The sequence below is a fragment of the Homo sapiens genome, chromosome 4 (assembly GCF_000001405.40).
Source record: "Homo sapiens chromosome 4, GRCh38.p14 Primary Assembly".
Lineage (NCBI taxonomy): Eukaryota > Metazoa > Chordata > Mammalia > Primates > Hominidae > Homo > Homo sapiens.
The window spans coordinates 53,074,543-53,100,125 of record NC_000004.12 but is presented as its reverse complement, the minus strand read 5'-3'; the positions used below and the strand labels follow the sequence as shown (position 1 = coordinate 53,100,125).

The following is a 25,583-nucleotide window of genomic DNA, read 5'->3' as shown; positions in this document are numbered from 1 at the left end:
ATTACTAACATGACAAGCAACAGATTGCTATTATTATTATTGTTTTCTTCATCAGTTTCCTGATGTCCATTCTGATTTCCTTTTAGTTTGCTTATACCATTATTTATTGGTATTTATGAGACTTCCAAATTAGTTTTTTGTTCATATTTTCCTTGTCCACTGAACTAGAATGAGGTTCAATTCAGTGTCTTTTCCAGTATTTTATAAACTTTCACATACCTCTTACCCATAAATAATTTTTTAAAAAATTAAGGACAAAAATCCTCTGCTATGGTTTGGATGTTTGACCCCTCCAAACCTCATGTTGAAATTTGATCCCCGGTGTTGGAGGTAGTCCCTAATGGGAGGTGTTTGTTTGAGGCATGGGGACAGATACCTCATGAATAAGACTAATGCCCTCCCTAAGTGGGTAGGGGGAGTAAGTACTTGCTCTAATAGTTCCTTCTAGAGCTGCTTGTTAAAAACAGGCTGACACCTCTCCTCAGACTCTCTTGCTTCCTCTCTCACAATGTGATCTCTGCACATGCTGGCTCCCCTTCACCTTCCACCATGAATGGAAGCAGCATGAGGCCCTCACCAGAAGCCAAGCAGATGCTGGCGCCATGCGTCTTGTACAACCTGCAGAACCTTGAGCAAAATAAACCTCTTTTCTTGATAAATTACCCAGCCTTAGATATTCCTTCATAGCAACACAAAGTAGGCTAAGATGCCCTCAAAAGATTACTACCCATTAGAGGATATTTAATGAGGAAATGGGCTAATAATTATGGGTTTGATGGTTACAAGTTAAAAGGAATGTAATGATAACTTACTCTTTTCTCTTTCAACTCTCCGCTTTGTGAAATTTTGTGACCTCATGTGACAAAAGGAGATTGTAGAAGTAGTCTTATAGACATCCTTAGTGATTTGGAAAACTGGCGAAGACTTGTCATTGTTTACTGTTTGTATATTTCTAATATGAATGGTGGTGGTAGAAGTGATAGAAGCAATAGTACCAGTGCTTGTATTCATTCACTTAACAAACAGTTTTTGAATACTTACTGAGCGCCAGACACTGTTCTGGGTGTTTGAGATATACCAGTGAACAAAGCAGACAATGATTCACTTCCCTTACAGAGCTTACAGTTTAGCTGGAGGAGACAGCCAATAAACAGTAAACATGATTGATAGATAGGTACATACAAAGCTAGATGAATGATAGAGTATGTTAGAAGAATAGGTCTATGGAAACAAATAATATTACAGTTTTAAGGGAGTTGATGAGACTAAGAAAAAAATAATCATATAGTGGTTAAGGAAGTCAGAATGTGTGCGTGCATGTGTGTGTGTGAGTAATCATATAGTCATTAAGGGAGTCAGAGAGAGTGTGTGTGTATGTGTGTGCACACACACATGCATGTAGGAAGTATTAAATAGAGATGTCAGGGAAGAGGCTCATTGATCTTAAAGTACTGAGGAGATAACCAAGTGGCTATCTAGGGGAAGAGCTTTCCAGAGAGAGGGAACAGTTAGAGCAGTCTCTAAAGCAGCAGTGAGTCTGGAATGTTTAAAGAACAAAATGGGATATCACCACCAATCCCACAGAAATACAAACTACCGTCAGAGAATACTATAAACACCTCTGCGCAAATAAACTACAAAATCTAGAAGAAATGGACAAATTCCTGGACACATACACCCTCCAAGACTAAACCACAAAGAAGTTGAATTCCTGAATAGACCAATAACATGCTCCGAAATTGAAGCAATAATTAATAGCCTACCAACCAAAAAAAGTCCAGGACCTGACGGATTCACAGCCGAATTCTACCAGAGGTACAAGGAGGAGCTGGTACCATTCCTTCTGAAACTATTCCAATCAATAGAAAAAGAGGGAATCCTCCCTAACTCATTTTATGAGGCCAGCATCATCCTGATACCAAATCCTGGCAGAGACACAACAAAAAAAGAGAATTTTAGACCAATATCCCTGATGAACATCGATGCAAAAATCCTCAATAAAATACTGGTAAACCAAATCCAGCAGCACATCAAAAAGCTTATCCACCATGATCAAGTGGGCTTCATCCCTGGGATGCAAGGCTGGTTCAACATAGGCAAATCAGTAAACGTAAACCAGCATGTAAACAGAACCAAAGACAAAAGCCACATGATTATCTCAATAGATGCAGAAAAGGCCTTTGACAAAATTCAACAGCCCTTCATGCTAACAACTCTCAATAAATTAAGTATTGATTGGACATATCTCAAAATAATAAGAGCTATTTATGACAAACCCACAGCCAATATCATACTGAATGGACAAAAACTGGAAGCATTGCCTTTGAAAACTGGCACAAGACAGGGATGCCCTCTCTCACCACTCCTATTCAACATAGTATTGGAAGTTCTGGCCAGGGCAATCAGGCAGGAGAAAGAAATAAAGTGTATTCAATTAGGAATAGAGGAAGTCAAATTGTCTCTCTTTGCAGACAACATGATTGTGTATTTAGAAAACCCCATCGTCTCAGCCCAAAATCTCCTTCAGCTGATAAGCAACTTCAGCAAAGTCTCAGGATACAAAATCAATGTGCAAAAATCACAAGCATTCTTATACACCAATAACAGTCAAAAAGAGAGCCAAATCATGAGTGAACTCCTATTCACAATTGCTTCAAAGAGAATAAAATACCTAGGAATCCAATTTACAAGGGATGTGAAGGACCTCTTCAAGGAGAACTACAAACCATTGCTCAATGAAATAAAAGAGGACACAAACAAATGGAAGAACATTCCATGCTCATGGATAGCAAGAATCAATATCGTGAAAATAGCCATACTGCCCAAGGTAATTTATAGATTCAATGCCATCCCCATCAAGCTACCAATGCCTTTCTTCACAGAATTGGAAAAAACAACTTTAAAGTTCATATGGAACCAAAAGAGAGCCCCCATTGCCAAGACAATCCTAAGCCAAAAGAACAAAGCTGGAGGCATCACGCTACCTAACTTCAAACTATACTACAAGGCTACAGTAACCAAAACAGCATGGTACTCATACCAAAACAGAGATATAGACCAATGGAACAGAACAGATCCCTCAGAAATAATACCACACATCTACAACCATCTGATCTTTGACAAACCTGACAAAAACAAGAAATGAGGAAAGGATTCCCTATTTAATAAATGGTGCTGGGAAAACTGGCTAGCCATATGTAGAAAGCTGAAACTGGATCCCTTCCTTACACCTTATACAAAAATTAATTCAAGATGGATTAAAGACTTACATGTTAGACCTAAAACCATAAAAACCCTAGAAGAAAACCTAGGCAGTACCATTCAGGACATAGGCATGGGCAAGGACTTCCTGACTAAAACACCAAAAGCAATGGCAACAAAAGCCAAAATTGACAAATGGGATCTAATTAAATGAAAGAGCTTCTGCACAGCAAAAGAAGCTATCATCAAAGTGAACAGGCAACCTACAGAATGGGAGAAAATTTTTGCAATCTACTCATCTGACAAAGGGCTAATATCCAGAATCTACAAAGAACTCAAACAAATTTACAAGAAAAAAACAACCCCATCAAAAAGTGGGCAAAGGATATGAACAGACACTTCTCAAAAGAAGACATTTATGCAGCCAACAGACACATGAACAAATGCTCATCATCACTGGCCATCAGAGAAATGCAAGTCAAAACCACAATGAGATACCATCTCACACCAGTTAGAATGGCAATCATTAAAAAGTCAGGAAACAACAGGTGCTGGAGAGGATGTGGAGAAATAAGAACACTTTGACACTGTTGGTGGGACTGTAAACTAGTTCAACCATTGTGGAAGACAGCATGGCGATTCCTCAAGGATCTAGAACTAGAAATACCATTTGACCCAGCCATCCCATTACTGGGTATATACCCAAAGAATTATAAATCATGCCGCTATAAAGACACATGCACACTTATGTTTTTTGAGGCACTGTTCACAAATAGTGAATTGGAACCAACCCAAATGTCCATCTATGATAGACTGGATTAAGAAAATGTGGCACATATACACCATGGAATACTACGCAGCCATAAAAAATGATGAGTTCATGTCCTTTGTAGGGACATGGATGAAGCTGGAAACCATCATTCTCAGCAAACTACCGCAAGGACAAAAAACCAAACACCGCATGTTCTCACTAATAGGTGGGAATTGAACAATGAGAACACCTGGGCACAGGAAGGGGAACATCACACACCGGGGCCTGTTGTGGGGTCGGGATGGGGGGAGGGATAGCATTAGGATATATACCTAATGTAAATGACGAGTTAATGGGTGCAGCACACCAACGTGGCACATGTATACATATGTAACAAATCTGCACGTTGTGCACATGTACCCTAGAACTTAAAGTATAATAAAAAAAAAATGAGCAAGAGAGAAAAATGTAGTAGTAGGTCATGAAGAGTCTTAGGGTATTTTAAGCACTTAGGTTTTAACCCTGAATGAAATGTAGAGCTGTTGGAGTGTGTTCAGCAGAGGAGTGAAATTATCTGTCATACATTTTTAAAGGATCACAGTGTCTATCATGTCAAGAAGATACTGAAGAGGGGAGTAAGACTGGGAGCATGGACTCTTGTTAGGAGGCTTTTAGAGTAATCTAAGTGAGAGGTGATGAAAGCTTGAACCAGGATGGTAGTGGTGAAGGAGGTAAAAAGAGATCAGATTATATATATATATAGCAGATTATGCCTTAGGCATTCTCTGGAGGATTAGATGTGAGATATAAGGAAAAGAACGATGTCAAAGATTACTTGACTTGAGCAGCTAGAGGGATTGGAGTTAAAGTCAGCTGGAATAGGGGAGGCTATGTGTGAGCCGGTTTTTAAGGGAAGAACATAAGTTCACTTTGGGGCATGCTGAATGTAACACATCTATTGAACATCCAAGGCAAAAATGCAAGAGCTATTGGAATGTAGACATTATTCAAAGTCATGAGACAATGATATCACTAAGGGATTGAGTATAGTTAGAGAAAGAAAGAAGTTCAAGAAGTAACGTTCAATAGAGGGGAAGAAGAAAGAAACCAGAAATGGAAATTGAGAAGCAGCAACCAATGAATTAGGAGGAAAACTAATAGAATATGTGTCTTTAAAGCCAAGTAAAAGTACATCAGTAATGCTAACAGGACAAGTTAAGGTGAGGACTGAGTTTTGACCATTGTATTTTGTGACATAGAGTTGATTGGTGACAAAAGCAATAGCAGCTTCAGTGGAGTGAGGGGGCAAAAGCTTTGTTGGAATGAGTGTAAGAGAATAAAAGAGGAATTTGAGACAGTGAATATGGACAACTCTTTGGAAGACTTATGCTGTAAAGGAGACCCAGAAAATAGGGTGGTTGCTGAACGGAGAAGTGGAGTCAGAGATTTTTTTTTTTAAGATAAAAGAAATAAAAGCACATTGTACACTGATGAAAATGGTCCAACAGAGATTAAAGAAATTGATGACATTGGGAAAAAGAGCAGAGTTGCCAATACTTTGTTATGGGCTGAATTGTGATCCTCCTGATGTTATATGTTAAAGTCCTCACCCTCAGTACCTCAAAATGGAACTGTATTTGGAGATAGGGTCATTAAAGAGGTTAATGATGGCTGCATGAGGTCATTAGGTGGGCGATAATCCAATGAGATTGGTATCTCATACCATCCTTATGAAATAAGGGCACAGATATACACAGAGGAAAGATCATGGGGAGACACATGGCCACCTACAAGCCAAGGAGACAGAGACTTAGAAAAACAACCCTGTTGATACCTTGATCTTGGACTTCTAGACTCCAGAATTGTAAGGAAATAAATTTCTGTTGTTTAGGGCACCTGTCTGTGATATTTGTTATGGCATCCGTAGCAAACTAATACAAGCCACATAATTGAGTAGAGGAGAAAGGATGGAATGTGATGCACAGTGGAAAGATGAACTTTGGTTAAGAGTTAGGCTACTCTACAACAATTCCATTCACCAGTTAGGAAACTGAGGCTCAAAAGGTTATGTGACTTTTCTAATGTTATACCCCTACTAATGCTGGAAGTGGTCTTAAACCTACATCCTTGTAACTTTAAGTCTCGTGTTTCTTTCCCCAGTTCCTAACTAAGGTATATAAATAATCTATTTTAAAAATATTAAAGAAAATTTCAATGTTATTCATTTTTTAGTTACATAGTTCAAAATCCAAAAGTTTAAAAATTACATACAGTGAAATGTTTTCCCTCCATCCTGGCCCCCACCCATCCCTAGCCCCTTCACCCTGCTATTCTTCCTGGAGATGACTGATGCTACCGTTTCTTGAGTGCTCCTGCAAAGATATACATCTCTACACACACACAAATACATATTTTTTTTCTATTACCTTTTAAAATACAAATCATAGCATTGAAATCTGCCTTGGTTTTTCATTTAATATATATCTTGGAGACTGTTTTATATCAGCATGTAAAGAGCTTTCTATTAAATTTTTATGGTTGCGTGGTATTCTGTTGTATGGGTATTCTATAGTTTCTCTAACTTATCTCACAGTGGCCATTGAAGTTGTTTAAAATCTATTGCTATTACACAGAAGCCTTCCAGATACATTATTTCACACATGTGTGAGTACATCTGTAGGATATATTCCTAGAAGAAGAATTCCTGGATCAAAAGTTATATATATTGATATTTTTGACAGATATTGCCAAATTATTGCCAAATTGCTCTCAATGGAAATTGCACTGATTTACTCTCACATCAATACTGTTTCTTCAGACTCTTGCCTTAACACATTTCATTCTTCTTTCAGCAGCCATGGTGATCCTTTTTTAAAAATATAAGTCAAAACATGCCATCCCTTGAACAACTATTTGCTGAACACCTATCATTTGCAGTCACTGTTTTGGGCACTGGTATAAACCCTGTGCTCCAAACTTTTCAGCAGCTTCCCTAGGTCAGTCAGCAAAAAAAAGTCAAAATCCATACAGTTGCCTACAAGACCACTTATGATCAACTCTCCTCTTTTTCCCAATGTTTTAACAGTATCTCCTGCTCCTCTGTCCTCCCTCATTCAACCACACTGAGCCCTCTGAAAGGCACTGTGCACACTCCAGCCATGGACACTACTCTTCTGTCCTCTCTGCTTCGAATATCCACGTGACTCACTCTTGTACCTCCTTCAGAGCAGCCTTTCTCACCAACCTATGTACAGTAGCAATAATCTCCTTCCCCATTTGGGCCCTCTGTTTTGTTTTTTTAGTCTGCTTTATTTTTTTGATAACATTACCATCTGACATACTGTATTTTTATTTTCATCATCCCTACCTACCTCATGGAAATCATTAATCTGTTTTCTCTCTTAATAATTTTGTCATTTCAAGATTGTTATATAAATGGAATCATACATTAAGTGGCCTTTTGAGGTTAGCTTTTTTCCCCTTAAATACCCTTGAGATCTGTCAAGGTTGTTTCATATATCCATAGTTCTTTTTATATCATATATCAATCAGTTCCTTTATATTGTTGAGTAGTATTCCGTGGTATATATGTAGCACAGTTTGTTTAACCATTTATCTCTTATTGGACATGTAGGTTGTTTCCAATTTGGGGGCTTTAAAAATAAAGCTACTATGAATATTCATGTACATGTTTTTGTGGAGTTGTAAATTTTTACTTCTCTGAGTTAAATGCATGAGAGTGTAATTGCTAGTTTGTTTGGTAAGTGTATGTTTATTTTTTAAAGAAATTGCCCAACTGTTTTTCAGAGTGGCTGTACCATTATACATTTCAACTAACAATTTTGAGGTTATTTCCTTAGACCTAAAATTTTTTTCTTACAAGATGTTAAAAAATACGACCTGTTATGTGTCATATGACGTGTTTTATCAGGCAAATTATAATGTAAATCCACCAAAAGCTCAGACTATGTCATTTTGTCCTGTATATATGCTTCTAGCACAAGGCTTGGCCTATTGTATTCTGTAAATATTTATTGAATGAAATGAAGCACAAATATGCACTGTAATTTGCACAATATGTCATATGACAATTTCTAATATAGCTTTGATTTAATGAGATTATTTTGCTTCCTGTTCTAATTTTGACGTCTTCTTTTCTGTCACATCTGCCTAAAAACTCACAGTGATACTGATATTGACTCTGGAAGATTTATATTTCTTTAAGTGTTTAGTAATTGAATCTTTTAAGAGTTTTGATATTCCAGCATAATATCAATTAATAAAATTATTTTTAAAAGAAAAGCTATAAATTATTGGAAGTGGGAAGTGAGCATGATCTAGAGTGTCTAATAGTGAAGATGTAGCATTGCTAAAATGAATGTAGAAGGAACAGACTCCATAGCCCTATTTTTCAGAGTGCATCTCTCCTCCCAGAAATCTTCATGTCTGCCTGTGTTATATCACAGGTCACCTAAGCAGTTTCTATGAAAGTTGTATCTACAGGACTCTGGAGAGACTTTAGGTGTTCTGAATTTGAACAGTTGAAAGTTGAGCTAAATTGACATTTTATGGAATAATAAGTCATAATTAACTTATTTAGCAATAAGATTTATGTAGATATCCCTGGAGGGTCATGTTAATATTTTATATGTTATTTTCTAGATTCTGAATTACTGGAAAATCATCAGAGACAATATATACTCAAATGATTTTCTTAGTTTTTTAATATTCTGAATCTCATTAATAATTACTTTAAGACTTACACACCATCCTAGCACAGAGTTGCCAGAGTTCTTTTTTTTTTTTTAACCTAGTTTCCTCTTTTGCCTGGGTGCTGAGAGTTAATTCTTTATCTCTAGTGGGAGACAGCTCTCTTCCATCTTAGAAAAACTCATAGCATTATTCCTTTCTGCTATGTGCATCTCTTTTAACTTTGTATCTCCTCACTGTCTCCTCTTTCAGCAATCTTCAGAGACAAAAAATTTCCTTTCTTCAGCCCATAGATTTAAACTTTACCAATATGGAAGATTTTTCTCTCATCTGTGAATGACTATAATAGTATAATATAGTATGAAATGGTATAACACCCATTTGCATAATTGCCATCCAAAAATAAACAACATGGCATAGCAGTTATTAATATAGAAGTATGATCTTAGAGTCATGTGATGAATCTGTGAGGGGAGTTGTGCAGTGGTGAAGATTAGAGTTTCAGTGGTTAGGCAGACCTGTGTTTGTTATCAATTCTTGGACGTAAACAAGTCCCTTTATGTAAACTTCAATTGTCTCCTCTGTAAAATGGGAATGATGATAGTGCTTATCCCATAGGGGTGGTGTGAAGATCAGAGAGAATATATATGAAGCTCTGAACACAATGCTTGGCACACTTCAGTGCTCCATAATTATTAGCTTTTCAATGTAAGCTCCATGAGGGCAGGGATCTAGTCTGTTTTGTTTAGCTGCATCCCTAGTGTCTAAGATGGTACCCATTGTAGTTTCACAAATATTTGTTGAATAAGTGAATGAATGGTTACTAAAGATCCCACTTGAGAATACCACTGCCATGCTCAGTGTTCTTTCCTTATCCCAAGTCACATACTGTGGATATTTTCAAGCTGATTTCTTTCCTATCTGGATCTTATGATCCTTTCTTGTACTCTCTCTTCACATATTCATTTAGCCAGCACTGACATTCTAAGAATACAATCACTGCCCTCAATGAACTTTTCTGTCATATGAACAAGTATTAATAGACAGGTTTCTTCCAGAAGAGGTGTCCCCTCCTGGTTACCTTTCCTTTTCCATTCTATCTCTTTTGGCATTTTCAGTGAGTTGAATATGTGCATTTCTAAAAATGTGGTCATGTATGATTTGAATCTAATAGAAAGCCCAACTGTTTGTGAGAGGTTTGTTTTGGATTTCTTATTTTTTGTTCTGTTGCCAAAATAGTTTTCACTTGTCATCCTCTTTTTGACTAGAGTCCTAGCAACAGATGGTTGGGAAGACAGTTTTGCAATGTCCCTGGGGATTAGTGAAATCCCACTTGCCACCCAGACATCATAGTTTCTGACAAACCTTCAAAAGCTTCTCCAGCTTGTTTTCCATTGCAAAACTATGCAGTGCTTGGAAGTCAACACATTTTATTATTACCAAAGCAAAGTTCTGTCTTTTGTAGCTCTCTGCAGAAGAAGCAAATATATCATACATTTTGGCACAGATGTCTTTAAAATTAATTTCCTTTTAATGGTTGAGTATGTTTTGAAATGCTGCAGGGGAAATATGTTTGTATAACTTCACATCTTAAGAAATGATGGCAAGCAAACATGTTCTGTGAATTAATAATATTAGCATTTAGTCCAGATGTAGATTCCAAAACTAATTTAAGAATATAGAAATTCTACAAACGGGACATCTAGAGATGGCCTTAACCTCTATCCATTGGCAAGAAATTGATTATATTTATTTTGATCCCTTTCAAGCAATTTTTTCCTAGCCTGTATAGAAAAAAATCTTTTGTTATGAATGCCTCATGACAAAATTAATTTGGTATCTTTTGACTATTAAATATTTAATTTGCCTACTTTATAGTTATTTGTCTCTTTTACAAATTAAAGAAATTTGACTTTTGTACCAGCAGAGAAATTGTAAGCTGATTCCATATTCAGTTATTTGTCAAATGAATAATTATAAAAAGCCCTGCATTTTAATTTTAGTTACCTGCATCATGATGAAAATTTTCATAAAGAAATTTTGTGGTTCAAAACAGTTCAGCACAATTGGACTTCATCAAAATTAGAAACTTTTTGCTTCAAAGGACACTAGCAATAAAGCGAAAAGGCAATTAAAAGAGCTGGAAAAATATTTGTAAACCATATATCAGGTAACAGTCTAGTATTCAGAATAGATAAGGAACTCTTAAAACTGACCAATAAAAAGATAAACCATTTAAAAAATGAACAAAAAATTTAATAGACATTTGCCTTAGTCTGTTGGAACTGCTATTACAAACTACCATAGACTAGGTAGCTTGTAGTAACAGATTTATTTCTCACAGTTCTGGAGACTGGGAATTCCTATATCAAAGTGCCAGCAGATTTGGTGTCTGGTGAGGGCCTTCTTCCAGGTTCACAGATAGTGTCTTGCTAAGTTCTCACATGATAGAAGAAGTAGGGGTGCTATCCAGAGTCTCTTTTATAACAGCACTAATTCCATTCATAAGGACTCTGCCCTCATGGCCTTATCACCTACCAAAGTGCCCACTTCCTAATGCCAGCACATTGGAGATTAGTATTTCAACATATGAATTTTGGGGGATACATATTCAATCCATAGCCTGCCACCCCTTGCCTCCCAAAATTTATGTTTTTCTCACAAGCAAAAGACATTGCATCCCAACAGTCCTCAAAATCTTGATTCATTCCAGCATCAACCTAAAATTTAAAACCCACAGTCTCACCTAAATATCATCTAAATCAGATATGGGTGAGACTCAAGATATGATTCATCTTGAGGCAAATTGCTCCCTAGCTGTGACACTGTGAAACCAAATAAGCCATATGCTTCCAAAATACAGTGGTGGGACAGGGATAGAATAGACATATCCATTCCAAAAGGGAGAAATAGCAAAGAAGAAAAGGGTAACAAATCCCATGTAAGTCCAGGCTACAAGCCAAACTCCATGAGATCTTAAGGCTTGAGAAAAATCTTTTTTGGCTTGATGCTCCTTCCAGGCCCACTACAGTGGGACTCCTGCCTTCAAGAACTGCTAGGTTAGAGGTTCTGCTCCCACGGCTCTGTCAGGCAGGGCTTAGGCTCCAAGCCTTTTGGCAGTCCTGCTGTCACTATTTTGGGTGGAGGAGATCTGGCTGATTGTGCAATGATGGTCTTCCCTTTTGAAACCAAGGAAGGCAGCCCTGATGATCTCTGGAATCATCTTTGGGGTCATTCTTCCATTGTCTTAGAGGATCATACCTGGCTTCTGTTGAGATGGCTGATCCATACAAATTTCATTAGCAAATGGTTGCTTGGTCACATCTTTACTGTTATCTTGTTTTGCAATATGGATAGTCTAAGAATTTTCTAAATCTTTACGTTCTGCTTCCTTTTTTACCTAACAATTTCATATTTAAGTCATTTCTCTCTTCTGTTATTTTACTATAAGCAGTCGGAAGGAGCCAAGCCTCACTTTCAACACTTCTCTTAGAAATAGTTTTGGGGCCGGGCATGGTGGCTCATGCCTGTAATCCCAGCACTTTGGGAGACTGAGGTGGGTGGATCATGAGGTCAGGAGTTCAAGACCAGCCTGGCCAAGATGGTGAAACCCCATCTCTATTAAAGATACAAAAATTAGCTGGGCACGGTGGTGGGTGCCTGTAATCCCAGCTACTCGGGAGGCTGAGGCAGGAAAATCGCTTGAAACCTGGGAGGCAGAGGTTGCAGTGAGCCGAGATCATGCCATTGTACTCCAGCCTGGGGGACACAGCGAGACTCCGTCTCAAAAAAAAAAAAAAAAAAAAGGAAAAAGAAAAAAGAAATAGCTTTGGCCAGGCACAGTGGCTCACGCCTGTAATCCCAGCACTTTGGGAAGCCAAGGCAGGCAGATCACCTGAGGTCAGGAATTCGAGACTAGCCTGACCAACATGGAGAAAACCTGTCTCTACTAAAAATACAAAATTAGTTGGGTGTGGTGGCGGATGCCTGTAATCGCAGCTACTTGGGAGGCTGAGGCAGGAGAATCACTTGAACCCGGGAGGTGAGGTTGCAGTGAGCTGAGATTGTGCCACTACACTCCAGCCTAGGTGACAGAGTGAGACTTCATCTCAAAAGAAAAAGAAACAGCTTTAGTTAAATATTCAATTTATTTGCCCACAAGTTCTACCTTCTATGTTTTGTAGAAGTTCTATCTTCTATGTTTTAGTGTTTTGCTAAAACATGAACACAATTCAGCCAGGTTCTTTGCCTCTTTAGAGCAAAGATAGCTTTTCCTTCAATTTTAAAAAGAATTTTATTTTTGTGGGTAGTAGTTGGTGTATATGTTTATGGGGTACATGAGATACTTTTATACATGCAATAAGCAATAATCACATCATGGGAAATGGGATATTCCTCTCCTCAAGCATTTATTCTTTGTGTTACAAACAATCCAGTCATACTTTTCCAGCTATCTAAATTATTGTTGACTATAGTCATCTGGTTGTGGTACCAAGCACCAAGTCTTATTCCTTCTTTCCAACTATCTTTTTTCCTACATATTAACCATCTCCACTACCCCACAACCCCCCATTGCCCTTCCCAGCCTCTGATAACTATCCATCTACTTTCTGTCTCCATGAGTTCAATTGTTTTGATTTTTGGCACCCACAAATAAGTGAGAACCTACAAAGTTTGTCTTTCTGTCTGACTTATTTCACTTGACATAATGACCTCCAATTCCATCCATGTTGTTGCAAATGACAGAATCTCATTCTTTTTTATGGCTGAGTAGTTCTCCATTGTATATATTTGCCACATTTGCTTTATCCAGTTATCTGTTGATGGACATTTAGGTTGCTTCCAAATCTTGGATACTGTGAACAATGCTACAACAAACATGTGAGTGCAGATATCTCTTTGACATACTGATTTTCTTTCTTTTGGGTGTACACCCAGCAGTGAGATTGCTGGATCATATGGTAGCTCTGTTTTTAGTCTTTTGAGGAACTTCCAAGCTGTTCTCCATAGTGGTTGTGCTAATTTACATTCCCACCAACAGTGTATAGGGCTTTTTTCCTCCATATCTTTGTCAGCATTTGTTATTGCCTGTCTTTTGGATAAAAGTCATTTTAACTGAGGTGAGGTGATATCTCATTGTAGTTTTGATTTGCATTTCTCTGATTATCAATGATATTGAACACCTTTTCATGTGCCTGTTTGCCATTTGTATGTCTTCTTTTGAGAAATGTCTATTCAGATGTTTTGCCCACTTTTTAAATCAGATTATTAGATTTTTTTCCTGTACAATTGTTCGAGCTCCTCGTATATTCTGATTATTAATCCCTTGTTAGATGGGTAGTTTACAAATATTTTCTCCCATTCTGTAGGTTGTCTCTTTGTTGATTGTTTCCTTTGCTGTGCATAGGCTTTTAAACTAATTCTATTTGTCCATTTTTGCTTTGGTTGCCTGTGCTTGTGGGATATTTTACTCCAGAAATTTTTGCCCAAATCAATTTCCTGGAGAGTTGCCACGGTATTTTCTTGTAGTGGTTTCATAGTTGTAGGTCTTATATTTATGTCTTTAATCCATTTTGATTTGATTTTTGCATATGACGAGAGATGGGAGGGGTCAAGTTTCATTCTTCTGCATATGGATATCCAGTTTTCTCAGCACCATTTATTGAAGTGATTGCCTTTTCTCCAATGTATATTTTTGGCACCTTTGTCAAAAATGAGTTCACTGTAGGTGTATGGATTTGTTTCTGGATTCTCTATTATGTTTCATTGGTCTATGTGTCTGTTTTTATGCCAGTGCCATGCTATTTTGGTTACTATAGCTCTGCAATATAATTTGAAGTCAGATAATGTGATTCCTCCAGTTTTGTTATTTTTGCACAGAATAGCTTTGGCTATTCTTGGTCTTTTGTGGTTTCATATAAGTTTTAGAATTGTTTTTTATATTTCTGTGAAGAATGTGATTGGTATTTTGATAGAGATTGCATTGAATCTGTAGATTGCTTTTGGTAGTATGGACATACTAACAATATTGATTCTTCTAGTCCACGAACAGGAAATATCTTTCCATTTTTATGTTTCTTCTTTAATTTCCTTCATCAGTGTTTTATAGTTTTCATTGTAGACATTTTTTACTTCTTTGGTTAACATAATTCCTAATTATTTAAATTTATTTGTGGCCTTTGTAAATGGGATTACTTTTTTATTTCTTTTTCAGATTGTTCACTGTTGATATATAGAAATAATACTGATATTTGTATATTGGTTTTGTATCCTGAAACTTTACTGAATTTGTTTATCAGTCCTAATAGTTTTTGTGGAGTCTTTGGTTTTTTCCAAATATAAGATTATATCATCTGTAAACAAGGATAATTTGACTTCTTTCTTTCCAGTTTGGATGCCCTTTACTTCTTTCTCTAGTCTGGTTGCTCTAGCAAGGACTTCCAATACTATGTTGAATAACAGTGGTGAAAGTGGATATCCTTGTTGTGTTCCAGATCTTAGAGGAAAGGCTTTCAGTTTTTCACCATTCAGCATGATACCAGCTGTAGATCTGGCATATATGGCTTTTATTGTGTCAACGTATGTTCCTTCTATACAGTTTTTTAAGGTATCTTATCATGAAGGAATGTTGAACTTTATCAAATGCTTTTTCAGCATTATTTGAAATGATCATATTTTTTTCTTCATTCTGTTGATATGACACATCACATGGATTGATTTGCATAAGCTGAACCATCCTTGCATCCCTGGGATAAATCCCATTTGATCATGATGTGTTGTGGGAAGTCAGGGACCCCGAACGGAGGGACCAGCTGGAGCCACAGCAGAGGAACATAAATTGTGAAGATTTCATATTAATATGGACATTTATCAGTTCCCAAATAATACTTTTATAATTTCTTATGCCTGTCTTTAATCTCTTAATCCTGTTATCTTCGTAAGCTGAGGATGTACGTCACCTCAGGACCACTGTGATAATTGGGTTAACTGTACAAACTGATTGTAAAACATGTGTGAACAGTATGAAATCAGTGCACCCTGAAAAAGAACAGAATAACAGCGATTTTTATGGAATGAGGGAAGTCAACCATAAGATCTCATTGCCTGTGGGGTCGGGCAAAAAGAGCCATATTTTTCTTCTTGCAGAGAGCCTATAAACAGACATGCGAGTAGGAAAGATATCGCTAAATTCTTTTCCTAGCAAGGAATATTAATATTAATGCCCTGGAAAAGGAATGCGTTCCTGGAGGGAGGTCCATAAACGGCCACTCTGGGAATGTTTGTCTTGTGCAGTTGAGATTAGGACTGAGATATGCCCTGGTCTGCAGCAGAACCCTCAGGCTTACTAGGGTGGGGAAAAACTCCACCCTGGTAAATTTGTGGTCAGACCTGTTCTCTGCTGTTGAACCCTGTTTTCTGTTGTTTAAGATGTTTATCAAGACAATATGTGCACCTCTGAACATAGACCCTTATCAGTGGTTCTGCTTTTGCCCTTTGCCCTGTGATCTTTCTTGGATCCTTATCAGTGGTTCTGCTTTTGCCCTTTGTCCTGTTCCCTGAGAAGCATGTGATCTTTGTTAGACCCTTATTAGTGGTTCTGCTTTTTGCTCTTTGAAGCATGTGATCTTTATACCTACTCTCTGTTCTTACGCCCCCTCCCCTTTTGAAACCCTTAATAAAAACTTGCTGGTCTGAGATTCAGGCGAGCATCACAGTCCTACTGATATGTGATGTCACCCCTGGCGGCCCAGCTGTAAAATTCCTCTCTTTGTACTGTCTCTCTTTATTTCTCAGCTGGCTGACACTTAATGGAAAATAGAAAGAACCTATGTTGAAATATTGGGGGTGGGTTCCCCCAATAATGATGAATGATCTTTTTAATATATTGTTGAATTTGGTTTGCTAGTATCTTGTTGAAGATTTTGCATCAATATTTATCAGAGATACTGACCTGCAGTTTTCCTTTTTTCATGTGTGATTGTCTGGTTTTGGTATCAGGGTAATAGTGACCTCACAGAATAAGGTTGGAAGTATTCCCTCCTTCTTTTTTTAAAAAAATAGTTTGAGTAGGACTGGTATTAGTTTTCCTTTAAATGTTTTTCCTCCAATTTTTAATAAGATGTTTCTCATTTCCATATGAGACCTCATAAGAATGGCCCTTACCATCCATGTTTCTACCAAGATTCTGTTTATAATTAAGTATTCTCAAGAATATTGAGGCTTTCTCTACAGTTCTTCTTCTTTCTTTCTGTGACCTCACCAGAGCTGCTTTTGAAATATTGTTCAAAGCAATATACCTTTTTTCTAGCATGCACCTCAAAACTTTTCCAGCCTTCACCCATCACCGATTTTCAAGGCTGTTCCCACATTTTTAGGTATTTGTTATAGTAGCACCCCACTCCCAGTACCAAAATCTATATTAGTCAGGGTTCTCCAGAGAAATAGAACCAATAGGATATATATTAAGAAAGAGAGAAAGAGAGAAAGAGAGACAGATATTTATTATAATGGATTGGCTTATGTGATTATAGAGGCTGAGAAATATCATAATCTATTGTCTTAAACTGGAGGCCCATGAAAGCTAGTGGTATAATTCTAGTTAAAACCTGAAGGCTCTAGAACCAGGAAAGTCAATGGTGTAAGTTCCAGTTTGAGTCTGAAGGCCTGAGAATCAGGAGCACTGATGTCTGTGGGCCAGAGAAGATGGATATCTCAAATTTGCTCTCTGCTCTCTGAGACCTGCAAATTTGGTCCTCTTCTGCCTTTTGTTCTGTTTGGGACCTCAGTGGATTAAATCTTGGTCACCCCTGTGTGTGAGGGTAGATCTTCTTTCCTCAGGCTACCAATTCAAATGTGAATCTTTTCTGCAAACACCCTCACAGACAAACATAAAAATAATGTTTTACTAACTCTCTGGGCATCCCTTAGCCTAGTGTAGTTGACACATAAAATTAACTAGCCATTTTCCATAGAAGATAACCAGTAGGTGCATGAAAAGATGCTCAGATTCATTAGCCACTAGCGAAATGCAAATCAAATCCACAATGAGATACCACTTTATAACCATTAGCATGGCTATAATAATCATCATCATCTAAAAAGGACAATAACAAATACTGATGAGGATTTGGGAAAATTGTAACCTTCATACATTGCTGATAGGAATATAAAATAGTGGAGCTAGACTGGAAAATGGTTTGGCAGTTCCTCAGAAAGTTGAACATAAGAGTTGCCATACGCCCAGCAATTCCACTCCTATACCTAGGAGAAATAAGATTCTGTTTTTATACACAAAACCTTATATATGAATGTTAATAGCAATATTATTCATAGTAACTCAATAGAAACAACCCAGATGTTCAGCAACTGATGAATGGTTTAACAAAATGTGTTATATCCATACAATATTCAGTTATGAAAATAGATGAAGTACTGACACATGCTACAACATGGATGAACCTTAAAAACATTATGCTACATTAAAGAAGCCACACATAAAAGGCCACTTATTGTATGATTCCATTTATATGAAATGTCCAGAATAGTCAAATCTATACAGATTAGAAAGATTAATATTGCCTAGGGCTGATGGTAGAGTGAGGAGGGTTGGAGTGGGCAGTAGAGAAGAGAGGGACATGGGGAATGACAACTAATGGGTCTGGGTTTCTTTAAGGGGTGATTTCAGTGCTCTGGAATTAGATAGTCATGACACTTGTACAATCTTGTCAATATAATATAATCCACTGAGTTGCACACTTTAAAGTAATAAATTTTATGATATGTGAATTATGTGTCAATTTTTAAGAATCAACACAGAGAACCTATAAAAATCAATGAACAAACTAAAAGTCATCCTGATAAAGCAATGTAATAATTATCCAGAGTTCTGATTTCCCCCCTAAGTTATTATTAAAAGGTAAAAGTACTTAAGAATATGAGTGGTTCATAGGAATGGAAAACCAAATACCACATGTTCTCACTTATAAGTGGGAGCTAAACATTGAGCACACATGGACATAAATATGGGAATAATGGACATTGTGGACTAGTAGAAAGTGGAGGGAGGTGGGTTGAAAAACTCCCTATTGGGTATTATACTCACTGTCTGGGTGATGGGATCCGTACTCCAAACCTCAGCATCACGCAATATTCCCATGCAACAAACCTGTACACATACGCCTTGTATTTAAAATAAAAGTTGAAATAAAAAAATTTTGAAAAAGAAGATGAGTTGTTTATGACAGCAAGTGTTTTTCCCAGGATATAAAGGATAGATTATACAACAATTACCTAGATGTTGCAAACACACACACTAAGATAATTGCCTGAAATTCTGCTTCACGTGTGCTCAAGTATAGATTTAATCATGTGTTGCATTTACAGGGCATTAGGAGGTGGATCGTAGTCTGCAACAAGTAATTGAAATAATATACTGGATAGTTCTTGAAGTCAGAATTATTATATACTTAATGTATTTCATCTACTTTAAGATGTACAATTTTTTTCCAATTTTAACATCTGAGATATATTTTACAATTAATGATGTCTTAGATTTGATGAAATATGGCAGTTTTGTATCATGTATGTTTGCTTTAGATGTCTTTCTACAGTGGTTAGCCATGTAAAATTAATTTTACTATTCTCTAAACAGCTATTTATATTAAAACATCATTTCCAGTGCATCCCCAGTGCTATGTTTATTTTGAGGTTTTGAAACCTGGTTGTTGACATATCTCCTAATTGCATGAAAAATAGTTCTTAGGGGTTAAATGAAGATTTCCCACAACCCCTCCCTATTTGCTGTATTGTGAGTATAAGAATAATTGCCTTTCTTTACTTCTTTTTGGGCCAGAGAGAGAAAGGCCTATCAAGGTGTGCTCCCTGCTTATCAAACCCTTCTGTCACCCTGGGTCGTTTTAAGGAGTAAGTGGAACCTGTAAATTATCAGGCATTTTAAAAATCCTGTTTCTATATACGTTATTTTCACTTCAAACTTTTAGCATAAGGTCTTCAATGTTTATACTACAGGACATAATTTAATAGTTTTTTTATTGCTATGACCCATTCTAATTATACCAAAATATCCTATAAAACAACAAAGTTAAAGTTTTGCCCAAGCATCTCTTCTAATGCCTTTTAAGCCAGAAAGTCTTAGATTCCTGAGTGGAGATTGGAAAGACATTATTAAACCATAACTTACAAAATGTTCATTTTACCCCTAAACACAGAGTGATCCTGGTAATTACAAATGGTGATATTTTGTAAAAATCTAAACGTGAGATGAGAACTCATCATTCTTAGACTAAGAAGCAATTGTTAAGGGGAGTAGAGGCAGAGGGTAATGTTTCGTTGCTAGAACACTTGGTTCTGTATGTTGCTATCCTTTTACAAAGGCAAAGCTTCACTGGAATTACCTTTAAACAAATATATAAATTCTTACCATCTGTCTATATGTGTTACACAACAGGAATACGTAACTATTCCCATAGTGAAGAAAGGAATTTCTTCATGTATATATTAAAATGTATATTTATGCACATAAATCTTATATATGTTTTCTATATCACACAGATATGTATCTGTATATGCCATATAGTCATCAAACATCCCCTGCAGTCTTAGCTCAATGATGATTTATAATGGAGAGAGTGACTTTCTCATGCTTTTGGTTGAGGACTTGCAATTGGATAGTATATTCAGGTTATAAAGCACAATGTAAGGGGAATGTAAGCATTTATCAAGAGTCTAATCACTGTGCCAGGAACCATATAATGGTAATTATTGGGTGCTGTGAGCACTGTTACTTTTTAGTTTGGACAGCCACAAGAAGTCAATAAACTCAGTGCTATATCTTCCTAGTTCCCTCTGCCTACACATTGTAGCCAGTGATAGCACACATAGAGTAATTGCAGAATATTCTATAAAAAAAATTTTTGGATCCAAGAGAATGCTATGTTCTTCGTTGATTTACACCTCATTCTGTTTCATCTTAACTCCATGTGATGATTGTTATGTGTCAGCTTGACTTGGCTAAGGTATGCCCAGAGAGCTGGTAAAGCATTTTTTCTGCGTTTGTCTGTGAAGTTGTTTGCAGAAGGAATTTGCATTTGAATTGGTAGACTGTGTAATCGCCCTCACCAGTGGGAGTGGGCACTGTCTTTCAAGGGCCTGAGTAGAACAGAATAACTGTCTGCTTGAGCTGGGACATCCATCTTCTGCCCCCCAGACATCAGTGCTCCTGGTTCTTGGGCTTTCAGACTCAGGTTGGTACTTACACCATTAGCCCTCCTCACCATTGTCTCCCCTCCCCTTCCAACCTCAATTCTCAGGCCTTCAGAGTCAAACTGAATGACACCACCAGCTTTCCTGGTTCTCCAGTTTGTAGAGGAAAGATCATGGGACCTCTCAACCTCTATAGTTATGTGAGCCACTTCCTATAATAGATCTCCTCTTGGTTCTTGTACAAACCAGAGGTAATCTAAACCTCTTAGTTTAGAGTTTTACAAAATATCACCATTTGTAATTACCAGGATCACTCTGTGTTTAGGGGTAAAATGAACATTTGGTATGGACTGTTGGTTTTGTTCCTCTGGGAACCCTGACTAAAATGCTGAGTAAGTGCAAGTAAAAGAACAAGACATAACCATTTAATAGATTTTTTTTATTATATTAGTAAATACAGCATTGTGGATAAGACCATGGATATTGGAATCAGATCACATGGGTTCATTTCTAATTCTGTGGTTTACTAGCTGTGTGACTGGGCAAGTTATTTAACCTCTCTGTACCTTAGGGTTCTTACCTGGAATGTGTGGCTAGCAATAGCACCTGCCTTATTAGCATTATAAGTGAAATTATATATTTGAACCACTTAGAACATTACTAGCGCATAGAGTCAATGCCCGAGGAAATGCCTCTTGATTTTTTATAGAAGGTAAGACTTCTAATTCAGCCCCTATTGTTTAGAAAGGCACACATTGCACACTTTTTAAATTATAGATTGTGTCTTTGTCAAAGTGAAATCTTTAAAATTGAACTTTGCCACAAATTGTTTATTAATTAATTATGGCTGTGCTCTTAACATTTTTAGAACTAAAATGGATTTCTTGCCTATGAATGCTTTAGTAATTTGAATATTTGCTACAACAAATAGAGATTAAAATCAATTTGGTAGAGTAGAAAGAATGTGAGCTTGGGAGATATAGACTGGGTTTTTAAATTTTATCCCATTGTCTGCTGCTTTCTGATCCTAGGCGAGTACTTCACTTCCCTGAGCCTCAGTTCCTTGTCTATAAAGTAAGATTAATAAGGCAATTGATCTATTGTAGTATAAGGCAAATGATGGTGCTAAAAAATTGCTCCTGTAATTTAACCAATAACTAGTTCCTGTTGATCATGCCAGAGGATTTCGAAAAATCAACAAAGTCTTATGATGGTTCCAGTGGTCTTGATCTTACAGTGCTCCAAAATATGCTGGAGCTTAACATTAATCATACTACACCAAGCTCTCACGTAGAATTTTGGCCTAAAGAGAAAAACTTGACAGTTTATCACCAAGAAAAGTGCTATGTATTTTAGACATAAAATCCAGTAAACTAATAGCAACAGCTTATGTGATCTACTGCAAGTTACTGAATTGTTCTGTGACTCATTCTTGATATAGGAGGATTGGACAAGATGACCTAATAAATGTTCATTTATTATTATTAGAAATAAATGTTCATGAGGCCAGCCGCCGTGGCTCATGCCTGTAATCCTAGCACTTTGGGGGGCCAAGACGGGTGGATCACCTGAGGTCGGGAGTTCGAGACCAGCCTGGCTGACATGGTGAAACCCCATCTCTACTAAAAATACAAAAATTAGCTGGGTGCGGTGGCACACACCTGTATTCCCAGCTACTTGGGTGGCTGAGACAGGAGAATTGTTTGAACCCAGGAGGCGGAGGTTGCAGTGAGCCAAGATCATGCCACTGCACTCCAGCTTGGGCAACAGAGTGAGACTCTGTCTCAAAAAATAATAAATAAAAAATAAATGTTCATGAGTCCAGGAAAGATAGAATAAGTTTTTAATACAGTAAAGATGATTGAGCATTTGTCAAACTAGGGTATAAATATTACTGGAATTTCCCATGATTTTTCCAGAAAACTTGTGTATATGCAAAAATGAGAAATAAAAATTAGATCTTAATACTGAAATATGACCCATAAAACACAAGCACTTAAAGGAATTCTATTAATAAAGTTTTGAATGCGCTGATCAAATGGAGAACTTCTATTTTTATGTTGTTATTTTTCTTGCCACACTGTGAGATCTTAAAATTAAATGTGATCACACTTAGGCTCATAACCTATATTTATATCCCCCAAAGCTAGATTTTCTCCAGAGAACAAGGAGTGTTCTTCCTTATAGGAAGAAAATACAATGCAAGTTCTATGATGATACCATTGGGTGCTTAAAGGATATATACAAGATATACATCTTAGAACTGAACTGTATTCCTAGACCTTTACTTGGCATACTTTGAGTGAGCAATATGTAAAATGACTTCTGGTACGTTTAAATTAGGGCAATTACCAAGCATATTTTCTCCAAGTTCTACTCTGCTGTTGAATGAAGAAATAATTTGTTCTCAAAGAAGAGGGAAGGGGAAGCAGCCCGTGTTGGATAAATGCAAGTGTGGCTGGCAGCCTACTTTGAGCCGGTGTAGAGAAAGGCTGCTGGGGAGCTCCTGCTCATCACCATTTAAAGGTTCATTAAATTTGATGGAGAATTATATTTCAATGCTCAGACCTGGCAGGTCCTTTTTTCCTCACAGCTTTTAAAATTACTGCTTTTGCCACTGATTGGTCCGTCCACCTCATTTTCCTCTTAATATTTCACCAACACCTCTGCTCCTGACAGTTACGAGGACACAAGGCCAACTAGATATCAGCGCATTTGCTTAGCCCCGGAGTGGCTTGGGAATGAGTCTGACAAGAGCCAGGGAGCAGAGGCTTTTCATAAATAATGGTGTGCTCTTGTCAGGGGTTCTGGGCCTTGCAGGATGGTAACATGTTTCCATAGCAGATGGGTCCGCTCTTGCCTGCCATTCTGTCTTTTGAACTTCCTGTTCAAGGGTATGGTTTTCATCAACCTTGATGCTGTAGAGAACACCTACTTTATAAAATTGGAATTTTTTTAGCCAAAAGAAAATAACTGAATGTTTTTGTATATAAAAGATTTCTTTAGAAAAGACCAAAAGGGGATGGAATAACCAGCCCAGATGTCCAAGTGAAAAGTTGTAACTGTGATAGAAATTTTTTCTTGTAATATATGAAAATTAGGACTGAGGAGAACAATCCTTTCTAGGCTCAGATTTCATTAAATGTCATTAAGAAATTATACCTTTTGCTATAAAACTACTTTTTTGGGGCAAATAATCCCTACACATATACAGGTACACTTTGTTTTATGGAGCTTCACTTTATTGCACTGTGCACATATTGCATTTTTTGTATGGTTTTGTTTTTACAAATTAAAGATTTCTGGCAACCCTGTGTCTAGCAAGTCTATCAGCACCATTTTTCCAACGGCATATGCTCACTTCATGTCTGTGTCACATTTTGGTAACTCTCACAATATTTCAAACTTAGTCATTATTTTTATATCTGTCATTGTGATCTGTGATCAGTGATCTTTTTTGTTACAATTATAATTGTTTGGGGGCACCATGAACTACCCCCATGTAAGACAGCAAATTTAATCAATAAATGTGTGTGTTCTGACTGCTCCACCAATTGGCTGTTCCTGTATCTCTCTCCCTCTCCTTAGACTTTCCTCTTCCATGGGACACAGTAATATTGAAACTAACCTAATTAACAGCCTTACAGTGGCCTCTAAGTGTTCAAGTGAAAAGATGACATGTCCCTTACTTTAAATCAAAAGATAGAAATGATGATTAAGCTTGGTGAAGAACACATGTCAAAAACTGAGATAGGCTGAAAGCTAGGCCTCTTGCACCAAATAGTTAGCCAAGTTGTGAATGCAAAAGAAAAGTTCTTGAAGGAAATTGAAAGTGCTCCTCCGGTGAACACACAAACAATAAGTAACTGAAACAGCCATATTGCTAATATGGAGAAAGTTTGAGTGGTCTGGATAGAAAATCAAATCAGCCACAATATTCCCTTAGACCAAAGCTTAAGCCAGAGCAAGCCCTAAATATTTTCAATTCTATCAAGGCTGAGAGAGGTGAAGAAGCTGCAGAAGACAGGTTGGAAATTAGCAGAAATTGTTTCATGAGGTTTAAGGAAAGCAGCTGTCTCTCTAACATAAAAGTGCAAGGTGAAACAGAAAATACTGTTGTAGAAGCAGCAGCAGGTTATCCAGAAGGTCTAGCTAAGATCATTGATGAAGGTGGCTACATTAAACAACAGATGTTCAGTGTAGATGATACAGCTTTCTATTGGAAGAAGATGCCATCTAGGACTTTTCATAGGTAGAGAGAAACCAATGCCTGGCCTCAAAGCTTTTAAGGACAGGATGGCTCTCTTTCAAGGGGCTAATGCAGCTTGTGACTTTCACTCGAAGCAAATGCTCGTTTACCATTCTGAAAATTTTAGGGGCCTTAACAATTATGCTAAATCTTTTCTGCCTGTGTTCTGTCAGTGGAACAACAAACCCTGGATGGCAGCACATCTGTTTACAGCGTGGCTTACTGAATATTTTAAGCCTACTGTGGAGAACCACTGCTCAGAAAAAAAAGTTCCTTTTTTCTGCTTATTAACAATGCACCTAGTAACCCAAGAGCTCTGACAGAGATGTACAAGGAGATGAATGTTGTTCTTATGCCTGCTAACACAGCATCCATTCTGTCGCTCATGGATTGAGGAGTAATTTTGATTTTTAAGTCATATTATTTAAGAAATACATTTTTTAAGGCTAT

The 25,583-nt window shown here is 37.2% G+C and overlaps 1 protein-coding gene across 6 annotated transcripts in view, besides 1 other annotated feature; it reads left to right on the top strand.

Moving 5' to 3' along the window:
* SCFD2 (sec1 family domain containing 2) overlaps positions 1–25,583 on the top strand; it is a 493,080-nt gene that overhangs the window by 265,936 nt on the left and 201,561 nt on the right. The gene's annotated exons all lie outside the window — the stretch shown is intronic.
* Positions 21,996–24,010: an enhancer, noted in NCBI's record as "VISTA enhancer hs1668". NCBI's record gives its function as "enhancer in: other[6/6]" and the evidence as "EXISTENCE:transgenic organism evidence [ECO:0001131][PMID:17130149]".